General features: G+C 50.6%; 1 protein-coding gene and 1 pseudogene across 1 annotated transcript, besides 4 other annotated features; both read right to left on the reverse strand.

Annotated features, from left to right (window-relative positions):
- RPS4Y1P1 (RPS4Y1 pseudogene 1) lies at positions 8232 to 9104 on the reverse strand (annotated as a pseudogene).
- Positions 13647 to 14147: an enhancer, noted in NCBI's record as "H3K4me1 hESC enhancer chr16:75231710-75232210 (GRCh37/hg19 assembly coordinates)". NCBI's record gives its function as "activates a minimal SCP1, AML or CMV promoter by ChIP-STARR-seq in naive H9 embryonic stem cells {active_cell/tissue: H9 hESC(naive)}" and the evidence as "EXISTENCE:reporter gene assay evidence [ECO:0000049][PMID:30033119]".
- Positions 15186 to 15480: an enhancer, noted in NCBI's record as "tiled region #2157; K562 Activating DNase unmatched - State 12:CtcfO". NCBI's record gives its function as "activates a minimal TATA promoter and a strong SV40 promoter by Sharpr-MPRA in K562 cells {active_cell/tissue: K562}" and the evidence as "EXISTENCE:reporter gene assay evidence [ECO:0000049][PMID:27701403]".
- Positions 17332 to 17411: an enhancer, noted in NCBI's record as "active region_11124". NCBI's record gives its function as "activates an Ori minimal core promoter by ATAC-STARR-seq in GM12878 lymphoblastoid cells {active_cell/tissue: GM12878}" and the evidence as "EXISTENCE:reporter gene assay evidence [ECO:0000049][PMID:35858748]".
- Positions 19938 to 22996, reverse strand: CTRB2 (chymotrypsinogen B2). Its single transcript, NM_001025200.4, has 7 exons — positions 22925 to 22996; positions 21925 to 22028; positions 21748 to 21827; positions 21577 to 21655; positions 21168 to 21348; positions 20608 to 20741; positions 19938 to 20157 (listed from the first exon to the last, which is right to left on the reverse strand). Exons 1-7 carry the CDS (start codon positions 22974 to 22976, stop codon positions 19996 to 19998), a joined length of 792 nt encoding a protein of 263 aa, NP_001020371.3. The 5' UTR covers positions 22977 to 22996; the 3' UTR covers positions 19938 to 19995.
- Positions 22586 to 22805: a silencer, noted in NCBI's record as "silent region_7710". NCBI's record gives its function as "represses an Ori minimal core promoter by ATAC-STARR-seq in GM12878 lymphoblastoid cells {active_cell/tissue: GM12878}" and the evidence as "EXISTENCE:reporter gene assay evidence [ECO:0000049][PMID:35858748]".
- Positions 22997 to 23528: the final 532 nt, after the last annotated feature.

Genomic DNA, 23528 nt, shown 5'->3' on the forward strand with positions numbered 1-23528 from the left:
GACTTTGTCTCAAAAAAAAAAAAAAAAGAGAGATCTATTAAGAGAGGAGGTCTCACTATGTTGCCCAGGCTGGTCTCAAACTCCTGGGCTCAAGCAATTCTCCCACGTCAGCATCCTAAGTAGCTGGGACTACAGGCTGTATCACTGTGCCTGACTGTAATATATTCCGGAAAAATCAATGAGTAGATTTTAAATATTCACACCACAAAAATACATGTAATACATATGTAAATTAGTCTGATTTAGTCATTCTGCAATGTATACATTTGTAAACATCATGTTAGATACAATAAACATACTTTTTTTTTTTTTTTTTTTTTTTTTTTAAGACAGTCTTGCCCTGTCACCCTGGCTGGTGTGCAGTGGTGCAATCTCGGCTCACAGCAACCTCCACCTCCCAGGTTCAAGCAATTCTCCTGCCTCGGCCTCCCAAGTAGCTGGAACTACAAGCGTGCTCCACCATGCTTGGCTAATTTTTGTATTTTTAGTAAAGATGGAATTTTGCCTTGTTGGCCAATCAGGTGATCCACCCACATTGGCCTTCCAAAGTGCTGGGATTACAGGCAATGAGGCACCACACCTGGCCCCAATAAACACAATTTTATAAGTCAGTTTTTAAAAGTTAATGAAAAACAAATCTAAAGAACTTGAGGGGATAAAGGAGTGTGAAAAGTGGTAGACTGAAAAGACTATGTTTCCATGGGGTAGGATTGTTAGGGTACTAGAGAAAATCTGGTTGAGTGAGGAATGCATGAAACATTACAAACAGGTTGCTATTACTAGTAGCAAGATTAATGTGTCCGAGAATAACTGGCTGAAGGAGGGAGGAGTACAGGCTCATTGGAAAAGTGGAGATGAAGAAACTGAAAAGCCAAGTATTAAATCTACATAAGCATTAAAATTATCAATTCAGATGGTAGTGTTAGAGTGGGAACTAAAATTTAAGAGATCCAGGGATCAGAAGATGACTGCTTTAAGTATCACGTGGTACGGTCTGATGGCCTGAGCATCCATGCCATGGGGTGTCAGAGAAGATGAAAGGAGAATGGTCTGGAAGCAGCGAGAAGGACATCTTCCCACCCCCAGGACCAGTGTTAAAGGGTGAAGTAGAAAAGTATAGGGAATGTTCATTAATACATAGGAAATTCTGGCCGGGCACGGTGGCTCACGCCTATAATCCTAACACTTTGGAAGGCCGAGGCTGGTCCATCAGTTGAGGTCAGGAGTTCGATACCAGCCTGGCCAACACAGTGAAACTCTGTCTCTACTAAAAAAAAATACAAAAATTAGTCAGGAGTGGTGGTGCATGCTTATAGCCTCAGCTACTGGGGAGGCTGAGGCAGGAGAATCACTAGAACCTGGGAGGCGGAGGCTGCAATGAGCCGAGATTGCACCACCGCACTCCAGCCTAGGGGACAGAGCAAGACTCCATCTCTCTCTCTCTTTTTTTTTTTTTTTTTTTTTTTTAGACAGAGTCTTGCTCTGTCCCCTAGGCTGGAGTGCAGTGGTACAATTTCGGCTCATTGCAACCTCCGCCTCCCGGGTTCAAGCGATTCTTCTGCCTCAGCCTCCCAAGTAGCTGGAACTACAGGCATGCACCACCACGTCCGGCTAATTTTTGTATTTTTAGTAGAGACGGGGTTTCACCATGTTGTTCAGTCTGTTCTTGAACTCCTGACCTCGTGATCCACCCGCCTCAGCCTCTCAAAGTGCTGGGATTACAGGCATGAGCCACCACGCCCAGCCCAAGACTCCATCTCAAAGAAAAAAAGACATAGGGAATTCTGCCCTAACCTCTGTGGTGAGTTCCAGAGGGCACAGAGGAAGATCTCTAGAAGTTGGGGAGAAGCAAGAGATGGACTCAGAAAGGGATGTAAGTGGAGGAAGTTTAGAGTGGGATCAGGCAGGGGGTGACCCAGGAATCCTGAGCCTCTTATAACTGAGCCAATAAGGACAAAAGCTTTAATGAGATCAGACCTGATAGTCTCAGAAAATGGTGGAGAAGCTGGAGTCTTGGGAGGAGGAAAGGGTAGGCATCTTGCCAAGAGCACCCAGAGTTCTGGGCCCTTCTTCACTCCTGCTAATAGAAATGAGGAAGCCTGGGGAGGTGGGTCTGACTTGGAGCACTTGAGGCTCCTTCTTGATCCTTGCCACGAGGTCATATGAGGAATATTTGAATACCATATGGTTCCTTACATACGGTAGATACCATAGAGCTCCTAAGAGTGAAAGTAGTCAGACTAATTGTGTTGACCTGGAAAAATGTTTGATAGAGTTTTAAAAGCAAGTTGCCAAAAATGTATGTATACACACACAGACAGTTGGCTTTCTGTATCCATGGATTCTGCATCTGAGGATTCAGCCAACCTTGGGTTGAATATTCAGGGAACAAAGAAAAAAATGGATGGTTGCATGTGTATTGAACACACATAGACCTTTTGTCATTATTCCCTAAATATAATGACTATAGAGCATTTAAATTGTATTAGGTATTGTAAGCAGTAGGGATGATTTAAGGTATACTAGAGGGTGTGCATAGATCACAAATACTATACCATTTTATATCAGGGACTTTAGCTTTTGGATTTTGGTATCTGCAGGAGGTCCTGGAACCAGTTCCTCATGGATTATCAAGGGACACATACACATAAATACACATACACACGGAGGGGGAGAAATGAGATGGAGGAAGGAAGATGTGACAACATACAATTGGCTAATCTAGATGAAGAGTGTATGGGTGTTCATTATACAGTCTGTTCTATACAAAATTCTAATTTTCTAATTTTGAATGAAAGAATGTTACAAGATATTATGTATAGCATTTTTTATAGAATATGTATATACATATGGAAGTATGTTATAAACTTAGACAAAAACCAGGAAGTATAACTGCCTGACATGTTCTCCTTGCCCACTGCCCAGATAGAGCCAATTTATCAAGACAGGGCAATTGTAATAGAGAAAGAGTTTAATTCATGCAGAACTGGCTGACCAAGACCGGAGTTTTATTACTCAAATCAGTCTCCCTGAAAATTCGGAGACTCGGGTTTTTTAAGGATAATTTGGTGGGTAGGGGGTCAGGGAGTGGGGTGTGCTGATTGGTTGGGTCTAGAGATGAAATAAGGGGTCAGCCGGGGGCGGTGGCTCACGCCTGTAATCCCAGCACTTTGGGAGGCCAAGGCGGGTGGATCACCTGAGGTCAGGAGTTTGACACCAGCCTGGTCAACATGGTAAAACCCTATCTCTACAAAAACACAAAAATTACCCGGGTGTGGTGGCTTGCACCTTAATCCCAGCTACTCAGGAGGCTGAGGCACGAGAATCGCCTGAACCCAGGAGGTGGAGGGAACAGTGAGCCAGGATCATGCCACTGAACTCCAGCCTGGGCAATAAGAGTGAAACTCCAGCCCGGGCAATAAAAGTGAAACTCCATCTCAAAAAATAAATAAAGAAGAGGTCAAAGTGGGTTCTTGCCATCTTCTGTTCCTTGGTGGGATCACAGAACTTATTGAATGACATGACCAGATTACCATTCTGGGTGGCACTAGCTGGTACATCAGAATGCAGGGTCTGAAAGATATGTGAGCACCAATCTTAGATTTTACAATAGTGATGTTATGGGGAGATTTGCAATCTTGTGGCCTCTGGCTACAAGACTCCTAAACCACAATTTCTAACCTCATGGCTAATTTGTTAATCTTACAAAGGCTGTCTAGTCCCCAGGCAAGAAGGGGGTTTGTTTTGCAAAAGGGCTGTTGTCTTTGTTCCAAAGTTAAACTATAAACTCCAGGCCGGGTACGGTGGCTCACACCTGTAATCCCAGTACTTTGGGAGGCCAAAGGGGGCAGATCATGAGGTCAGGAGATTGAGACCATCCTGGCTAACACGGTGAAACCCCATCTCTACTAAAAATACAAAAAAATTAGCCGGGTGTGGTGGGGAGCACCTGTAGTCCCAGCTACTTGGGAGGCTGAGGCAGGAGAATGGCGTGAACCCAGGAGGCGGAGCTAGCAGTGAGCTGAGATCACGTCACTGCACTCCAGCCTGGGTGACAGAGCAAGACTCCATCTCAAAATAAATAAATAAAAATAAAAAATAAATAAACTCCTCCCAAAGCTAGTTCAGCCCATGTCCAGGAATGACCAAGGGCAGCTTGGAGGTTAGGAGCAAGATGGAGTTCGTTAGGTTAGATCCCTTTCATTGTCACGATTTTCTCACTCTTAATTTTTGCAAGGTAGCTTTAGAAGGACTTAGAGCAAGCTGTAACAGCGTTTACCTCTGGGATAAGGACCTTTACTACCAAGCTGGTATGGTTTTAAATAGAGTAGAGCTATAATGGTGGCTTCTACATTGATATATTTTCTAATAAATATTTAGAAGATAAATCAGTATAAAATATTGTACCGTATTAGCCCAGTTTTCAGATAAAGACTCCACACATGTATATGGAAAGTAAGCAACGAGGAAGGGGTCTCCTTTGGGGGAGAACAATTATTCCAAGACATGGCTCATCACAGATAACCTGCTGGCATGTTCCCCAATACCTCACTCCCCACGTAGCCCAGCAGCATGTCGTTCCTGCACAACCCAAGACTTCCCTCTAGCCCCTGTCTGTTTGCAGACAGCCCCTCTGCTGTGCTGCACATTGTACCTTTGCAACATATCTTCGTGCTTTCCCTCTAATAAGTCTGCCTTTTATCCCCCATGGACTGTCTTAGTAAATTCCTTTACCGCCTGCCACACCAGCCGTAGCCAGTTGTACCCGTGACATTTTGATGGCCCATATGGGAAGTGCTCGCGGACTGCTTAGGGAGTCCTCCCCTCCTCTCTCCCTTTCTTCTCCAACTCCAGCCTCTCAGTGGACAGCGCCCAAGCCTGGAGACAACTGAAGGTCCCCAGCCAGGTCTACTCCCTAGTGGACCAGAAGGTCCCGGTGGAGAGATGCCTGACCACCCGACCACCGACCACCGCTGCCTGATTCAGTAAAAGTTTACAGCACCTTTTCAGTTTACAGCTTTCCTTTTCTGTCTTCCCGGGGAAACACTCTAGTATCCCTCTGACAATTCATGCCACTGGCTAGGGCCACTCCTTTGTGTAGCCTGGAGGCCAAGGAGTAAACAGGTTTGGCTACCTTGCTGGGAAGGGAGGAAGGCCCCTCCTATCCTTTCTGGCCAAAAGTTCCAAACCCTACGTGTAGTGCCATTGGCAGCAGAAGCTCAACCAGGGCAAACCTACACACACTTTGGGGAACCTGGACCCCCTCTTTCTCACGCTAAATTCTCCTGTGAAGACAGCCAGCCACCCTGCTCTGGACATCTTAAGCCAGGTGATCCCAAACAGCACTGGGACGAATTCAACAGTTTCACCTTCAAATGATGCTGAGGATGGAATATCGGTATCCCCGAGGATGCTGGCTACCTTTACGAGTCTCCCCTGAATGCAGCTGGACATCAGTTTCACCTTGATAGGCTCCCCTCCTCCAACAAGTCCCTTGTCCACCAAGAGCCAACATCCCAGGCCTCACAACCCGGGACAGTGACCCACAGGGTCTCCTGACAGACCAACAGGCATAGGTAGGGTCAACTCTATGCCCCAGGCCAGCAGGAAATAGCTGCAAAATGAAACTGCCACCCCAGTGCCAGAGCTTGGGCATTGTTCAGTTAGAGGGGGAATGTGGAGTCCTGATAAGCTGTGCCAGCAGCAACAGGGAAGGGGTCCCAGGTGAGGGAGAGCAACTGTTCCAAGAGAAGGCTAATCATACAACCTGTGGACACAACATCCCATTTGCTCCGCACACAGCCCCCTCCGGCATGAACCTGTAAGACGTCCCTCAAGCCCCTGCCTCTTTGCAAGCAGCCCCATCTCTGCTGTGCTGCCCATTGTACTCTTGCAACGTATCTTCCTACTTTTGAGAAAGGGTCTGGTTCTGTCATCCAGGCTGGAGTGCAGTGGCACGACCTCGCCTCACTGCAACCTCTGCCTCCCAGGTTCAAATGATCCCCACCTTAGCTTCCCAAGTAGCTGGGACTGCAGGCACGAGGCACCACTCCTGGCTAATTTTTTAATTTTTGGTAGAGGAGGATTTTTGCCATGTTGCCCAGGCTAGTCTCGAACTCCTGAGCTCAAGTGATCTGCCTGCCTCAGCCTTCTGAAGTGCTGGGATTACAGTTATGAGCCACCGTGCCCAGCCCATACTCTCCCTCTAATAAATCTGCCTTTCTATTCCTGCAACTATCTTGAATTCCTTTATTGCTTGTGATACCGGCCCCAGCCAGTCACACCCAAGACAGTATGTATATTTGTATACATTTACATTATTTCTAGATATATCTCCAGTTATTAAATATTTAATGATGGCATGGTGGCTGACACCGGTAATCCCGGCTCTTTGGGAGACCAAGGCAGGTGGATTGCTGGAGCCCAGGAGCTCAAGACCAGCCTGAGCAACATAGTGAGACTCCCCCGTCTTTACAAAATATATAAAAATTAACCAGATGTGGTGGCACATGCCTGTAGTCACAGCTACTCAAGAGGCTGAGGTGGGACGATCACTTGAGCCCAGGAGGCAGAGACTGCGCCACTGCACTCCAGCCTGGGTAACAGAGTGAGAACCCCGTCTCAAAAACAAGCAAAACATAAAAACATTTAAGAAAACTTTGTGTTGTGAGGTCTGATGTATTTTTCACCTACATTCTCCTGCTTTAAAGGGGTAATTTGTACCTAAAAACCCCTCCTAGGATGAATTCTCCTAAGTGGAGAATATAATTGCCATTAATTCCGGTGGAAAAATCTGTATGCACACCTTAGTCCCTAAATACACTCATTTATCCTAAAACACCATAAACCCATTAAAATGGGCACAGATAATTGACCTCAGCTAACACAGCACAACACAAGCAAGGTCCCTTAATTACCCTATAAAATGGCTGTCTGCATACATTAAGCTGTTTGTGCATTGTTATAAATACCTGAGGTTGAGTAATTTATAAAGAAAATAGTTTTTTTTTTTTTTTGGTTGTTTTTTTTTTTAAGATGGAGTCTTGCTCTGTCACCCAGGCTGGAGTGCAGTGGCATGATTTTGGCTCACTGCAAACTCCACCTCCCGGGTTCCAGCGATTCTCCTGCCTCAGCCTCCTCAGTAGCTGGGATTACAGGCACCCACCACCATGCCCAGCTAATTTTTGTATTTTTAGTAGAGAAGGGGTTTCACCATGTTGGCCAGGCTGGTCTCGAATTCCTGACGTCAGGTGGTCCACCTGCCTCGACCTCCCAAACTGCTGGGAATACAGGCTAGAGCCACCACACCTGGCCGAGAAAAGAGATTTAATCGGCTCATGGTTCTGCAGACACCTGCTCAGCTTCTCGGGAGGCCTCGGGAAACTAGCAATTATGGCGGAAGGTGAAGGGGGAGCAGGCACATCACATGACAAAATTAGGAGCAGGGGGAGGGGGTGCCACACGCTTTCAAATAACCAGCTCTCCCAAGAAGTATCTTGAGGACAGCACCATGCCATGAGGTGTCCTCCCTCATGACCCAAACACCTCCCACCAGCCCCCAACTCCGACATTGGGGATGGCATCTCAGCATGAGACTTGGACAGAGACGAACATCGAACTATATCACTACACTTCTCCAGCTCTTTCAGAGCTGCATTGTACCCTTGAGACTATACTATCAAAGAAAGCATATTTGACATCCATCCTTCACATAAGAGAAGCCTTTATACAAAAAGGTAAAGTAGTAGAGGCAGAAAAGTCAATGGAAACAATGGAAGGAGTGCCAGGGTTGTCCCTACAAGGTAGCAAGTTACAAATGCTGAGAAGTTCGCACATCCCACTCTACAACTAGGAAGGTGACCACAGGGGTTACTCTCATTAGCTGCATGTTCCCAAGGCTCTAAAAATCCAGATCACATCTTTTTTTTTTTTGGAGATGGAGTCTCGCTCTGTCGCCCAGGCTGGAGTGCAGTGGCGTGATCTCAGCTCACTGCAACCTCCCCCTCCCAGGTTCAAAAGATTCTCCTGCCTCAGCCCCCAAAGTAGCTGGGATTGCAAGAGCGCACCACTGCACCTGGCTATTTTTAGTAGAGACGAGGTTTCACCATGTTGGCCAGACTGGTCTCTAATTCCTGACCCTCAAGTGATCCACCCACCTCTGTGTCCCAAAGTGCTGGGTTTACAGGAGTGAGCCGCCACGCCTAGCCTCAAATCAGAACTTTTTTTTTTTTTTTAGAAACAAGAATTCACTATTTGAGAGGAAAAAAAAAAAAAGAGAGAGATACGCTGCTACTGCAATTTAGCCACTGCTGTTTGGTGGCCAGCCTCTTCTCTCTCTTTTCAGCAATAGTAAGTCGGGTGCCCTTTTCCCTGGGCAGGGAAATCCAAGGTTTACTGCCATTGCCAGTGACAAAAATGTTGGAAAGCCTCAGGGCAAAGCTGTTGCCATTGGCATCCCTCACATGCCCCACATTTAAAGAACCAGGATGTCCTTCCCTGTTGGTCACACCAACATGACGGAGGCTGGCTCCGCCAATCACCATACACGCATTGCCTGTGTGGAATTTGATAAAGTTGATTATCTTGCCAGTCCCTAAATCAATCTGCACAGTATTGTTCACCTTGATGACAGGATCTGGGTAGTGGATAGTTCCAGTATCATGAGTCACCAGGCGTTGGATTCCCTTCATCCCCATAGTCACCTTCCTCACTTTGCACAGGTTGTACTTTGCCTCTTCGACTGTAACGCGATCAACAGCAACACAGCCCTTGGGTCACAGACCAGGCAGAAATGCTCACCTGTCTTGATGCCGATGACATCCGTGAATCCAGCAGGGTATGTGATAGCCACTCGAACCTTGCCATCAATTTTAATGAAGCATTGCATACATATCTCCTTTACGTCATCTCCGGTCAATGCATACTTGAGTCTATTCCTGAGGAAGACGATCAGCGGAAGACATTCCCTCAGCTTGTGGGGACCTGTCGATGGACGAGGTGCAAATATACCCTTTAGTTTGTCGAGCATCCAATGCTTCGGCACTGCAGCACGCTTCAAGTGCTCCTTAGGGCCCCAGGCCATGGTGAAACCCTGCGACGGAAGATCAGCGCTCTTTTGAAGTGCCTTGTAATCCTCATAAACCACAGTGCTTTTAAGTGAAGCTCCTCTTAAAGACAAATTCTTGCAGTCTGGGCGTATCTCAAGATGTAACTGTACTTCATTTAATCCTCACACAAGCCTAGGAGGCAGTGGTTTTTATCCTACTGGTGAGGCAGCCAGCCGAAAGCAGCAATGCCAAGAACAAAACCCAGCTCATGAGGTGTATTTCCAGTTGAGACTTCTTCCTGTTCAACTCTGAGTCCATGCTCACTGTATTTGGCCATACAGCCCATTTTTATCCTGATATTTTAGAGATCTTTTTCCATTTCCATGGATATTTTTCATAACTGAACTGCGTATTGGGTTATGTCTTTATTTCTAAGTCTGAAGTTGGGACTCACCTACTTGGCCTCCAGCTATTCAGGAATCTGCGGTGGGAGGATTGCTTGAGCCCAGGAGGTCGAGAACCATGTTCCTACCACTCCACACCAGCCTGGGAGACAACGTGAGACTCTGTCTTTAAAAAAAAAAAAAAACCAACACCACACACACACACAAAGAAAAGAAAGGCCCAGAATCACATTCCCCAAAACCCACTTGGAGTGGTTGCACAGGCCGCCCCCGGGAGGGCTGGCACTTCCACTCTGTGGGGCTGATGCTGAGTGTGAGAAGACAGTGTCCCTGGAGGCCTGTGTCCCTGCAGATTGCTAAAGCCATCACTGCGAGTGAGAAGAATGGGCAGCAGATGGAGGTTTGGACAGGCAGAGTCCAGGCATCTGAAGGGCACAGGGAGGACTGCAGTGGTAAAAATCAAGCCAGACTTTTTCTGTGACTGGGAGCAGGCCATGGCGTGTGGGGCCTGGCTGCGTCAGGTGGTTTGGGTCTACCGGCCCAGGAGCAGCCTGCAGAAGGGGCACAGGATGGCCAGGCCTGGGCAAGGAAAGGGCAGCTGAGGGGTGCCCTGGTGAGACACCAGTGTCTCTGAGGGGCAGCCATTTAGCAGAATGGGTGATCACAGCAGGTAGACAAATGACCCCCTGCAGTGGGTCAGCCGCTGGGGATGCTCAGTGGTGGCTCCGTGTGGTCTCAGGAGGCCCAGTGCTGATGACTGGAACCACATTCTGACAGTAGTGACGGGACTAGGATCAGCCATGACAGTCAACAGGCATTGCTTTTCTGCCCTTGGCCGTGTACGCGGCTTGAGTTCTCTCATTCGGCAGTCAGATAACCCATGAGAGAAAGTCACCATTCTCGTCTTATAAATGAAGTAACTGAAGTTCAGAGAGGTTAAAGAATTTTCAAGGTGCGTGATGTGCTACAATACTAAGAATACGAGAAGTTAAGGCTGTATTAGAGCAACCACTGAAGAAAAAAAGGAACAGTATATCCAAAACACTAGTAGATAAATTAAAACTGAAATCAAACATTTTTAGGCCCAGTGCAGTGGCTCACACCTGCAATCCCAGCACTTCGGGAGGCCGAGACAGGCAGGCAGATCACTTGAGGTCAGGAGTTCAAGACCAGCCTGGCCAACATGAAACCCCATCTCTACTAAAAATACAAAAATTAGCTGGGAGTGGTGGTGGGTGCCTGTCATTTCAGCTACTCAGAAGGCTGAGGCAGGAGAATTGCTTGAACCTAGGAGGCGGAGGTTGCAGTGAGCCAAGATCATGCCACTACACTCCAGCCTGGGTGACAGAGCAAGACTTCTCTCAAAAAAAAGTATTTTTAACACAAAAGAGGGCAAGAAAGAAGAGGAGCCAAAATAGGGGAGGGAGTGGGAGAACAAAGTGAAGAGTAAAATGGTAGACCTAAAACAACCATAATAAAACGCAGAAATTGTCAAAGGGATAAAGATTCAAAGGCAAAGCCAAATTATATGTAGTACAAGAGTCATTTTAAATATAAAGACACAGGTGGACTGGGCACAGTGGGTCATACCTATAATCCCAGCAATTTTGGAGGCTGGGGCACCAGGATTACTTGGGGCCAGGAGTTCTAGTCCAGCCTGGGCAACATCGCCAGACCCCATCTCTTCAGAAAAAGTTTAACAGAAAAACTAGCTAGGCATGGTGGTGTGTGCACGGAGTTCCAACTACTCAGGAGGCTGAGATGGGAGGATTGCTTGAGCCCAGGAGTTTGAGGCTGCAGTGAGCTATGATAGCACCACTGTACTCCAGCCTGGGTAACAGAGCAAGACGCTGTCTCTGGAAAAAAAAATGAAAGATTTGCCCAAGGTAAAGACAGCCCAGACCTCGGTGGGGCTGCGAAGCAGGAATGGATAGAATGGGGACAGGTCCATGGCAGAGAAAGGATTTGGACCCAGAGTTGCAGATCCTAAAACCTAAGGTCTTTAACGGATACTGTATTTCCTACCTTCTGGCATGTTCCATGGCAGCATTCCGACTCCTACCAGGGAGCAGTCTTCAGATGTGACACAGCTTCACAGCTGTGCTGCCTTCCCTGAGCTAATACTTCCCCACTACTGGTCAAAAATGAGGTGACGTTTCTCTTAACCTCCTCTCTTTTTTAATATATCCTTCCCATCCCTCTACCCCGGGGACTCATTCTCCCAGCAGCTGCTGAACTCCTGTGTATCAGATTCTTACACTTGAGCATGCATCAGAATCACCTGGAAGGTATAATACACTAAAGGCCGGGCCCTGTCCATGCCATTTCTGAATCTGTACGCTGGCGTGGAGCCTGGGAATCTGCATTGCTAACAAGGTTCCCCAGGTGCTCGCACTCGGAGAAGCCCTGTGGGCGATTAAGCTTATTGCTTCACGAGACACTGAGAAACAGCTCCTGCCTCGAAGCCCACCATCGAGCTTGAAGACTGTCGGGTGAACAGATGAGTCCAACTGGGAGTAATTAGTTTCCAACAGAGGAAGCTCAGGTGCCCTGTGGGAGCACACAGGGGCAGCACCAGCCTCAGGTCAAGGGAAAAGCAGCCCGAGACAAACTTCCGGTGCCACAGAAAGCCAGATGGTTTCATGGAGGCCACCCAGCCCCCGTCACCCATCATGACTCTGCTTGCACAGTTTGAGCAATGCCATTGGTTTTGCCCGTGTGACCAACTCTTAGGCATCTCCATAGGGCCACAGGGCAGGCCCCCAGCTGTCGGCATTGCCTGGTCTTATGATCTCAGGCTCCCAGCACCCTCACTGCCCAGCAGCCTGTTCCATAGCAGCATCTCCCACCTTCTCCCTGACTTCTAGAGGGGAGCACCCCATGAGCTTAGCTGTGCCTGCCCTCTCACCAGCATGGTCACATTCCTGCTTTCGTAGACGAATGAATCTTCCGGGCCTTCCCATGGGCGTTCTGCCTCACAGGGCTTGTCCACACAACTGCCCACCTCTGAGCCTTTTAACGCCTCTTTCCACCATCTTATAGCAGCGCCAGCACCTCTCCTTTGCTTAGTGTGCTCTGCCTTCTGCCTGCTTCTAGGAGCCATCCGGCAGCACGGTGGCCCATTCCCTAGGGTCCTGAGCAAGGCATTAAGTCCTGTATCCTAGGAGAGTCCTCCCGAACTGATACCCCCACCTTTCTCCAGCTTCATGGGCTTTCCCCTTGGTTCAGCTCTCTCAGCACCCAGTTCTCATCACGTGTGCCCCGTCCCTGCAAGCGCTTTTTGGCTCCATTCTGCAGCTCCCTTGGTACAAGGTCCTTTTCCTCTCTTACCAGGCCTGGTGCCATCATGGCCAGGACTGGAAAGGAGAGAGATGCTGGGGTTAATGTCCTGCAGGAGGGAAGCCTCCGTCTCCTGTGAGGAAGGTACTCTCGCCCCGGTGGGAAGAGTGGGGCCACTTCTGTGCACTCCGGGCTTACGGGCTCGGGGGATTTGAGGTTTTGGGAGTACATCAACCCAGATGTCTGCATCTCATGCATCAGAGCCCTGCATCTGGCACAGCAGCCTGTCTAGGTGGAGCATTTAACCTTCTTGGGAGCTTGGCTGATCTTACAACTAAATCCTGGGTCTAGTCCTCAGCTTTCTCTACCTTGCAGCTGCAAGAGATAAAAACCTCTTTATGTGTTCCTAAGGTGGCTTTCACCCTTAGCTGTTAATTGCCTGTTAATCATTCTCAGCTTTTGTCATTTCCCAAAGTCTTTGTGTTTAGCAGCAACCACCTAGTTTAACTGTGGTTTTTGGGTTTGTGAGACAGGGTCTTGCTCTGTCACCCAGGCTGAAGTGCAGCGGCATCATCACAGCTCACTGCAACCTCGACCTCCCAGGCTCAAGAGATCCTTCTGCCTCAGCCTCCCAAGTAGCAGGGACTACACCACCACACCTGGCTAATTTTTATTTTTTATGGGGACGTGGGTCTTGCTATGTTGCCCAAGCTGGTCTTGAACTCTTAGGCTCCAGCAATTCTCTTACCTCAGCCTCCCAAAGTGCTGGGATTGCAGGCGCGAGCCGCTGCTCCTGGCCCTACGTTCTATAGGTATTCTCTCCCCTCATACCTCAAACTCCTGACACAGGGCACCCACTAGTGGATAGTGTTCCCCAGAATACCATTGCATTTCATCAGCAGTGGAAGCTTTCACAACCTCATTGCTACCGTGTGCCCGACCTATCTACGCTTCCTCTACCAACCATGAAGAGGTCCTCACTGCCAGCCTGGTAGTCAGCAGTCCAGCTCCAGAATCCCACCTCAGCATCCGCATTTTGCAGCTCACTCCCGGCACACACGATCATAGCTGGAGCTCCCCACAGGAAGTAGACTCTGAGATAAAGATGACCACACAGAAGTTTACTGGTACCCCAGGAGCAATACCTTTGGAACCGAAGACTCGTAGGGGTAGGGAAAGAGCAATGTTGGGCAGAGGAAGATAGAGCCTCAACATCGTCCCAAGTTTGGGTGAAAAGACTGGACCTTTAAAAAACCCTACTGACCAATCACTGGATGCAGCTGCCCAGAAAGGAGGCAGGACCCGAGGTCAAGATGATGCTCTTCAGCTGAGGAAACTCCCAAAGAGGACGGCAGCTGCGGACTGTCTGCTGTCCACAGCAGCGCGTGGGGAGGTCGGCCTGCAGTCCTGGAGGGAATCTGGGTGGCTAATCACGCAACCACTAGATTAGGTACAGATGCAGGCTGGTCCGAGACAGGATTCTCTTGCGACTGCTCCAGACGTTTCTGTTAGTAGAAAGCCAGATCACCCGATGGGCGGGGAGAGGCGCGTGCACTGTTTAACGTGGTCTAACTCAGACCAAGGGTGGGGGAACCCCCGCCCGAGGAGGAATCTGTTTTTAAGCTGAGATTAAATCAAGTGCGACCCCTGATTAAACTCAGCCTTTTGCTTAACTGTACTTGTCAATATAACACATAATTGGAAGCTTTTAAGCATATTTGGGACAATTTGGGTGTGAGTCTACCTTTTCAACTGTAAGTTTTACAAGATGTAAATGCAGATCGAGTATTTCTCATGAAAATGTAGCATCCAGGTGGAGATGTGATGGAAGTGCAAATTACACACTAGGTTTGAAAGAGTGTAAGAGTGTAAAATATATCATTAATAATTTTAAAATACTGATTACATGTTGAAATATGTAGATATATTGGGTTAAATAAAATATATTATTAAAATTCTTTTTTCTTTTTTTTTTTTTTTTGAGACGGAGTCTTGCTCTGTCGCCCAGGCTGGAGTGCAGTGGCGAGATCTCAGCTCACTGTAAGCTCCGCCTCCCGGGTTCATGCTATTCTCCTGCCTCCGCCTCCTGAGTAGCTGGGACTACAGGTGCCCGCCACCACACCCGGCTAATTGTTTTGTATTTTTAGTAGAGACGGGGTTTCATCGTGGTTTCATCGTGTTAGCCAGGATGGTCTCATCTCCTGACCTCGTGATCCGCCTGTCTCGGCCCCCTAAAGTGCTGGGATTACAGGCGTGAGCCACCGCGCCAGTCCCTCTTTTTTTTTTTTTTTTTTTTAAGAGACAGGGTCTCACCACCACACCCAGCTAATTTTTGCATTTTTTTTTTGTAGAGAAGAGGGTCTCACTATGTTGCCCAGACTGGTCTCGAACTCCTGGGCTCAAGCGATCCGCCCGCCTCAGCCTCCCAAAGGTGCTGGGATTACAGGCGTGAGCCACCGTGCCCGGCCTCTTTTTACTTTTTCAGTAGGGCTACCAGAAAATTTAAAATCATCCATTTGGCTCGCCTTGTATTTCTTTTGTATTTCTTTGAAACAACGCTGGGTTAGGAACAGTAAGGCATAGCTATATGCAGTTTTCATATTGGCCACCAGGTGGCAGCCTTATACCGGGTGGTTTTCAGACTCTTGGGAGGCCGGTGGGTGGAGCGGGGGACAGACGCAGATTTCACCAGCAAGTGAAAAAGTCCCTTAGCCAGGTTTGTGCTTGCTATTCCATTTTTATATTACTTACGCCTCACATTTATTTGTATGTAGATGGTTGTTGACATAATAAAATACATGTAATTTCCTCTGTGTTTAAGAGCAGTTCTCCCTCACTGAGCTGGGAGTTTCCTTAAGAAACCTGGCTCTTAATTATATAGAGAGAGACTGGGCGCGGTGGCTCTAATTATATATAGAGACACCCAGCGCGGTGGCTCACACCTGTAATCCCAGCACTTTGGGAGGCCGAGGTGGGTGGATCGCCTGAGGTCAGGAGTTCGAGACCAGCTTGACCAACATGGTGAAATACATGTCTCCACTAAAAATACAAAAATTAGCTGGGCATGGTGGCATGCACCTGTAATCCCAGCAACTCAGGAGGCTGAGGCAGGAGAATTGCTTGAACCTGGGAGGAAGAGGTTGCAGTGAGCTGAGATTGCACCACTGCACTCCAGCCTGGGCAACAGAGTAAGACTCCATCTCAAAAAAAGAAAAAAAAATACACACACACACACACAGAGAAAGACAGGGTGACAGGGTCTTGCTCTGTCACCCATGCTGCAGTGCAGTGGTGTGATCATAGCTCACTGCAGCCTCGAACTCCTGGGCTCAAGTGATCCTCATGCCCCAGCCTCCTGAGCAGCACATTACAGGTGCCACCCGCTGCACCCAGCTACTTTTTCTTTTTTTTAAAGGAGTCTCACTATGTTGCCCAGGCTAGTCTCAAACTCCTGGCCTCAAACAATCCACCCGCCTCTGCTTTTTTTTTTTTTTTTGAGACAGTCTCACTCTGTTGCCCAGGCAAGAGTGCAGTGGCACCATCTTGGCTCATTGCAACCTCTTGCCTCCTGGGTTCAAGCAATTCTTGTGCCTCTGCCTCCTGCGTAGCTGGGATTACAGGCATGTGCCACCACGCCTGGCTAATTTTTGTATTTTTGGTAGAGATGGGGGTTTCACCATGTTGGCCAGGCTGGACTCGAACTCCTGACCTCAGATGATCCGCCTGCCTCTGCCTCCCAAAGTGCTGGGATTACAGGTGTGAGCCCCTGCGCCCGGCCGGCTTGATACTATTTTTAATAGTCGACTTTGGATCCCACTCCTGTGCCCAAGCTCTCTCTCATTTTGCTTTTCCCCTCTTCACACATCCATTCTCCAAGTTAATTTCTCTTCATGTCCTTATAATTAAATTCCATCTATAACCTTAATTCCAACCTATTAGACGCATCATCAGAACGGCTGACAGTGCACGGGCAGAGAAAGGTATTAGGAAAGCCAGTGAAGTAGAAAATGCAGGAGGGAGCCCATTCCATTCCTGCCAAGATGCCGGGTTAGTGTGGAATGTTGGCTGCCCCCCAGGACCAGCCATGATAGATTTTTTTTAGATGGAGTCTCACTCTGTCACCAGGCTGGAGTGCAGTGGCAAGATCTCGCCTCACTGCAACCTCTGCCTCCTGGGTTCAAGCGATTCTCCTGCCTCAGCCTCCTGAGTAGCTGGGACTACAGACACCCACTACCACACCTGGCTAATTTTTGTATTTTAATAGCAATGGGGTTTCACCATGTTGGCCAGGATGGTCTCAATTTCCTGACCTCATGATCTGCCCTCCTCGGCCCCCAAAAGTGCTAGGATTACAGGCGTAAGCCACCATTCCCAGCCCATGATGGATCTTTAGAGGGAAACATCAAGAGACAGGAAGACCTGGGAGAAGAAGCAAAGATCGGAACCTGTGGTTACGTGGGGAGGCTAGAGCTGTGGCCCAAGGCAGAAGGCTGTGAACTCGGCTGTGCAAGGAAAAAACAGGAAGTGAGCACCAGGGTTCTGCTCTGCTTCCGACCCAGCTCCAGGGCTTTGGGGCAATGGGTGCCTGCCCCTGGCCTGCAGGTGCCCTCAGGATAAAGTGGGTCATGCCGAGGCACTGTACAGGGGAGGAAATGAAAAAGACTTAGAACTATAAAGTGTGTATCAAATTGCAATAAAAAAGGCCAGGTGTGGTGGCTCACACCTGTAATCTCAGCACTTTAGGAAGCCGAGGTAGGTGGATCAGTTGAGGTCAGGAGTTTGAGACCAGCCTGGCCAACATGGTGAAACCCTGTTCTTACTAAAAATACAAAAATTAGCCAGGCATGGTGGTGGACACCTGTAATCCCAGCTATTTGGGAGGCTGAGGAGGGAGAATCACTTGAACTCAGGAGAGGTTGCAGTGAGCAGAAATCATGCCACTGCATTCTAGTCTGAGCATAAGAGCAAGACTCCATCTCAAAAAAAAAAAAAAAAAAAATACAATGAAAGCAGTGTTTGGAGGAAAGCTTGCCTCCTGAAATACTTTTATGAGAAAAGAACACACTGAAAATTACTGAGCTGAGTATCTAAATTTGTGATGTTAAAAAATCACAAATGGATACATACAGATTAGGAAGCCAGCATTACCCTGATACAAAAGCCAGATAAAAACATCAGAAGAAAATTACCAACCAGTATCTCTCATGAATATAGATGCAAAAACCTTCAATAAAGTACTAGCAAACTGAACCCGACAGCATATTAAAAGGATTATACACCATGATGAAGTGGGAGTTATCCCAGCATGCCAAGCGCTATAGGAAATAACAAGAAAATCCATCAGCGTAATATGCATTAATTGAATGAAAGGGGAAAATCACGTGATCACTTAAATTGATGCAGAAAAGGCCTTTGACAAGATCCAACACCCTTCATGATAAAAAGCACTCAGAGGCTGGGCGCGGTGGCTCACGCCTAATCCCAGCACTTGAGGACGCCGAGGCGGGTGGATCACCTGAGGTCAGGAGTTTGAGACCAACCTGACCAACATGGTGAAACCTCCTCTCTACTAAAAATACAAAAAATAGCTGGGTGTGGGGGCTCACGCCTACAATGCCAGCTACTGAAGAGGCTAAAGCAGGAGAATCTCTTGAACCCAGGAGGTGGAGGTTGCAGTGAGCCGAGAAAGCGCCATTGCACTCCAGCCTGGGCAACAAGAGCAAAACTCCATCTCAAAAAAAAAATAATAAAATAAGTTAGCCGGGCATGGTAGCATAGGCCTGTACTCCAAGCTACCTGGGAGGCCGAGACACGAGACTCACTTGAACCTGAGAGATGGATGTTACAGTGAGCTGAGAGCGAACCTCTGCACTCCTGCCTGGGCAAGAAAGCAAGACTCTAAAAAAGACTGTCTAAGAACCCCATGCAGGCTGAGTCAAGGAAACTAAGAAACTAAGCATCTTGGTAAACCAACGAAAATCAAAGGTAAAATCTTAAAAGCATCCAAAGAAAATCCATTAAACCTTTTTAAAAAGCAACAGTAAATCACTGACTTCTCCACGAATCAACAGAAGCCAGGAGACACTGAAACACCTTCCAAGTCCAAATATCCATGTACATACCCACATGCACGTCTCAACAAAAATTATTTTTCAGAGTGACAGGCAACTTTTACAAGATCAAAATGAATAAATATCTTTTCAGACAGTGGAACAACAGGAGAATTTTCTCCAACAAAATTTTCACTGCATTAAAGGAAAGACTAAAAGTTTCCAGAGAGAGAGAGACCGCCAATCCGGACACATCCTGGGAAAGGAACCGGCCCCCTCCATGGCCTGGCCGAAGTGATGGAAGCTGAGCGTGAGGAAGCCTCAAGATCTAACTGCAGAGGCCGAGCGCGGTGGCTCATGCCTATGATCCCAGCACTTTCGGAGGCCGAGGCAGGCAGATCACCTGAGGTCAGGAATTTGAGACCAGTCTGAACAACATAGTGAAACCCCATCTCTACTGAAAATACAACAATTAGCCGGGCGTGGTAGTGAGTGCCTATAATCCCAGTTACTTGAGAGGCTGAGGCAGAAGAATGGCTTGAACCCAGGAGGCAGAGGTTGCCGTGAGCCAAGATGTCACTGCACTCCAGCCTAGGCAGCAGAACAAGACTCTGTCTCAAAAAAAAAAAAAAAAAAAAAAAAAAAAGTCTAACTGCAGGGTCACAGAAAATGCAGAGAGGGAGGCGGGGAAGAGTGTGGGAGCTGAGAGGACAGTGGCGCCAGCTCCCAGCAGTGGATGCAGAAGGTGTGAGGGGCTGGGGTCTGACGGGGGAGGGGGTGATGCTTGCATGCACATTCCTGAGCACTGGACATGGGGGACTAAAGGCAGAGAAAGGCACCTGGAGTGTGTGGGTCAGCAGTGGTCCCAGTGACAACTCCAGGGGGCTATGGATTGCAGAGCCTGGCCAAGGACTGCTGCCTTCCAGAAAGCCCCACGGGTCAAGCTAGCTTCAGCAGGTAGGGCCTAAATTCTAAACCCAGGGTGGAGCCGTGAGCAGGCAAGAGATATGAAGACCTCAGCTTCCTGAGAAGGCTGGGTTGCCAACATTAACTGCAGCCTGGAAAGGGAACGGTAGTGCTGCCCCTTTGTGGGTGACAAGGACAACTTCAAGCCCACCTCCCCTGGGCCACACAGACACAGGCAGTGCAGTCAGGGCTTCTAAACAGATGCATTTAATGGGAAATCTTAAGGCAGGGGTGGCAGGAGCTGCGGGCTCAGTTGGCGGCCAGGATCTTCTGCACCCAGGGTATGAGCTTGGCGACACGGGCGTACACAGCGGGCGTGGTGGTAGAGCAGGTGCGGCTGCCCCAGGACACAATGCCCACCAGGGTCCAGGCTCCGTCCTTCTGGCAGACCAGGGGGCCTCCAGAGTCACCCTGCAGGAAGGAGAGGAAGTATCTCTAGGCCTGAAAGGGGTGCCAGGGCCTAGGGGACCCTGACCTGGTGGAGTCTAGGGAGGGGTGCGGAGAAATGGTAAGCATGGGCATAGGGGCTGTGCCGGGGTCCTGAGATCTGGGTTCACATGGCAGCCCCCACTCTGCCATGCACTCTTGGAGGGAGCTGGGGCAGGTGGCTTCCCTCTCTAAGCCGGGGCACCATCCATCTCTCCAAACCTCCAGCTCACAGGGCTGCAAGGAAGTCCCCAGGGGCAGCCTCAGCTGCATGGCCTGGAGGAACCCTCATGGGCGGCTGTGACCCCAAGGCCTGGCCCTCACTGGGCCCCAGGAGGGTGTGGGGTTAGTAGATGAGAGCAGAGAGGGGTGGAAAGCCCAGACCTCCCCTGCACCCCGCTCGCCTGGCCAGGGCCTGGGCAGGGCCAGCCTCACCATGCAGGAGGAGACGCCACTGGCCCCGGCACAGATCATCACGTCGGTGATCCTCCTGCCCCAGGACTTCTTGCATTCGGCATTGGACAGGAGGGGCAGGGCTGCCTGCTGCAGCTTGTCAGGGGTCTTGTTGGCTGCAGGACAGGAGGAGGGTCAGGGCCCCTGGGCTCACTCAGCCAAGAGTGGAGGGAGAGACCCGGGGCCGACACGCCTGCCCTACCCTGCACCATCACCACGATGTTGGGTACGGCCCCTGGAGCCTCAGAAGCGCCTGTGGGACAAGGGGGCCTCGGCCCTGCCCGGGTGGGAGCCCCACGCTGCGACTCCAGGCAGGTCAGCCAGGGCAGGGCTCACCCGGCCGGGCGCTGCTCAGAAGCTCCCTGTGCAGGCTCCTCATGATCCGACCTGGATTTTATTTGCATTTGGGGGATTTTAAATTCAGAAGATTTTCAATAACGAACGGGCAGTTAGGAGCGTGTTGGAATTTAGAGCCAAACGGTCACGGGGGGACTCCACGGCCAGGCAGCCCAGACCCCAGAGGCAGCCCCGCGGCCCCTCACCGTTGTACTTGGTCTTGCCCCAGCCTGTGGTGGCACACAGTGTCCCCGCGGGGAAGTCGTCGTCGGCGCTGGGCAGGCACACGGCGGACACTGTCTGGGAGAAGCGGGCAGGTGTGGCCAGCTTCAGCAGGGTGATGTCATTGTTCACGGTCAGAATGCTGAACTTGGGGTTCTTGAAGACCTGGGGGTGGGGGCCAGAGTGCCGGGGTGAGGCCCTGGGAGGAGGCAGGACCTGCAGGCTTCGAGGACAGACTCCTTCCCTGGTGCCCGTTAAGGAGCAGTCCATCCCCAGGGCCGGAATGGGAATCACGAGGCCGGCCCGGCCCCACTGGGCGCCTGTCCCTGAAGCAGCCGAGGGGTCTCCCCCCGTGCCCACGGCCCTGCCCTCTGCTGCACGGGGCCTGGGTACCTTGGCGATCTTCAGGACCTGGATGTTCTCCTCGTCAGAGCCCTGGTCAAACTCCCCAGCCACGACCACGTCGGAGGTCCTGGGCAGAGCGTTGTGGGTGAGAGAACATGCCCTGCTCCCCTCCCACCCGACCGGTGCTGGAAGCGGAGCCCAAGGCTGCCCGGTCCTCACCTGACCCCGCAGTGGGCAGCGGTGACCACCCAGTCCTCGCTGATGAGGGAGCCCCCGCAGAAGTGGAAGCCGGTTTTGTCCTGTGAGCAAGATGGGGAGGGTCAGCACCTCCCACCCGGGGGCACCCCCAGCCTGGCCCCTACCCAGGGTGCCCCCCACCTTGCAGAACCCCCTCACCTGCAGGGACACCTGCCAGGGCCAGGAGCCGGGGACGGCGTCCTCCCCATTCACGATCCTGGACAGGCCGCTGAGCACAGGGTGGATGGCGGGGACCCCGCAGCCTGGGGGCGGGAGTGGGCTGAGGGGTGGGTACCACCCACCCAGGTCCTAATGCTCCAGCCTCCTCTCACTCCCAACTCTTTTCCAGTCTCTGGGACCTAGACTGGCTCCCACATCCCCTTCTCTGAGAAGTTGGCCCTGGCTCTCCTCTCCGCAGAGCTGGAATCCCCAGGTACAACTGAGTCCAATGAACTGGGCTGTGGGCTGCTGAGGAATGGGGTGTTGGCCCCACCTCAGTTCGGAGAAGTCACACAGGTGGAGCGTGCGGTGGGCGGCAGCCCCGGCGCTCAGTCTGGGAGGCCAGACTCTGTGGGTTTGAACCTGGCTCCCTCCCTGCCCAGCTAAGCCACTCAGTGTCCCCATCAGCAAAGTGGGGATCACGCTGTTTCTGACCTCACAGGTTTGGTAGAGTGAGCAGGCAGAGCGCCAGCTCTGCGCCTGGCACCCGGGAAGTGCTCCGTGAGCAGGAGTTTAAGAGGGTGAGGCTCGAGGTTCTGAAAGGTTTGGACTGAACGGTGCCAAGCCCCAGCTGCCCACACATTCACCACCCAAACCTGTGCTGGGGCCGCTGACTGTTTGGGGGTTTCCCGAAGGCCTCAGGGCAGCCCCCGGACACCTGCCTCCTCCCCCCGCCTCCTCCCCTGAGAGCCTCAGGTCTGCTGGGGGTGAGGAAGGGGAGCGGGACTCCCCATCTCCTGAGCTCAGAGGCGGCAGCTGAGCCTGGGAGGGAGGCATTGACCTCTCAGCGCCCACGGCAGAGATGGAGCCGGTGACTCGCCCAGGCCCACACTGCGGTGCACAGCTGAACTGGGAGCTGGGACCCTGCTGCCTCTTGCTGGCCTCGGGGCTGGGAGTGAGAGGAGAAAACCCTTCGGCCTCCGCAGGGCCTGGCACTCACCGAAGGTGGTACCCAGGAGGGCCCAGCAGGAGAGGAGCCAGAGGAAAGCCATGGTGCCGCTGGCAGGGGTGTAGGACGCCTGTCTGCCGGTCCCCGTTATAGCCCTGTGTGCCTGCTGTTATCTGGAGACCTTGGGGCGATAATCCCTTCCCTGGGAGTGGGCAAGATGTGTCGGTGCAGGGCTGGCCAGGAAGCCTGGGATGGCAGCAGCTGTGGCCTTAGCTGAGCCGGGCTAACCCAGGTGGCCTTCGACCATTGCCTTTCTCCTCCAGGCCCAGGCTTGGGCAGGGGCCTCCAGGGGCTGAGTCCAGCATCCCCGGGTTTGAGCCCCAGCTGAGTCTCTTGTGCTCTGCAAAGAATTCACTTGATCTTTTCATGGTTTGAAAACCCCTGGGCAGGCCGGGCATGGTGGCTCACGCCTGTAATCCCAGCACTTTGGGAGGCTGAGGCGGATGGATCACGAGGTCAAGAGATCAAGACCATCCTGGCCAACATGGTGAAACTCCGTCTCTACTAAAAATACAAAAAATTAGCCAGGCGTGGTGGCGCACACCTGTATTCCCAGCTACTTGGGAGGCTGAGGCAGGAGAATGGTGTGAACCCG

This window comes from Homo sapiens, chromosome 16, assembly GCF_000001405.40.
Source record: "Homo sapiens chromosome 16, GRCh38.p14 Primary Assembly".
Classification (NCBI taxonomy): Eukaryota; Metazoa; Chordata; class Mammalia; order Primates; family Hominidae; genus Homo; species Homo sapiens.

Bases quoted from the DNA above. Each gene is read 5' to 3' on its own strand.
- CTRB2 (NM_001025200.4), bottom strand. From the start codon at position 22,976: ATGGCTTTCCTCTGGCTCCTCTCCTGCTGGGCCCTCCTGGGTACCACC. The intron at 22,029-22,924 runs GTGAGTGCCAGG...TCCCGCCCCCAG, and splicing joins CCTCCTGGGTACCACCTTCG to GCTGCGGGGTCCCCGCCATC. The intron at 21,828-21,924 runs GTGAGGGGGTTC...TCTTGCTCACAG, and splicing joins CCTGGCAGGTGTCCCTGCAG to GACAAAACCGGCTTCCACTT.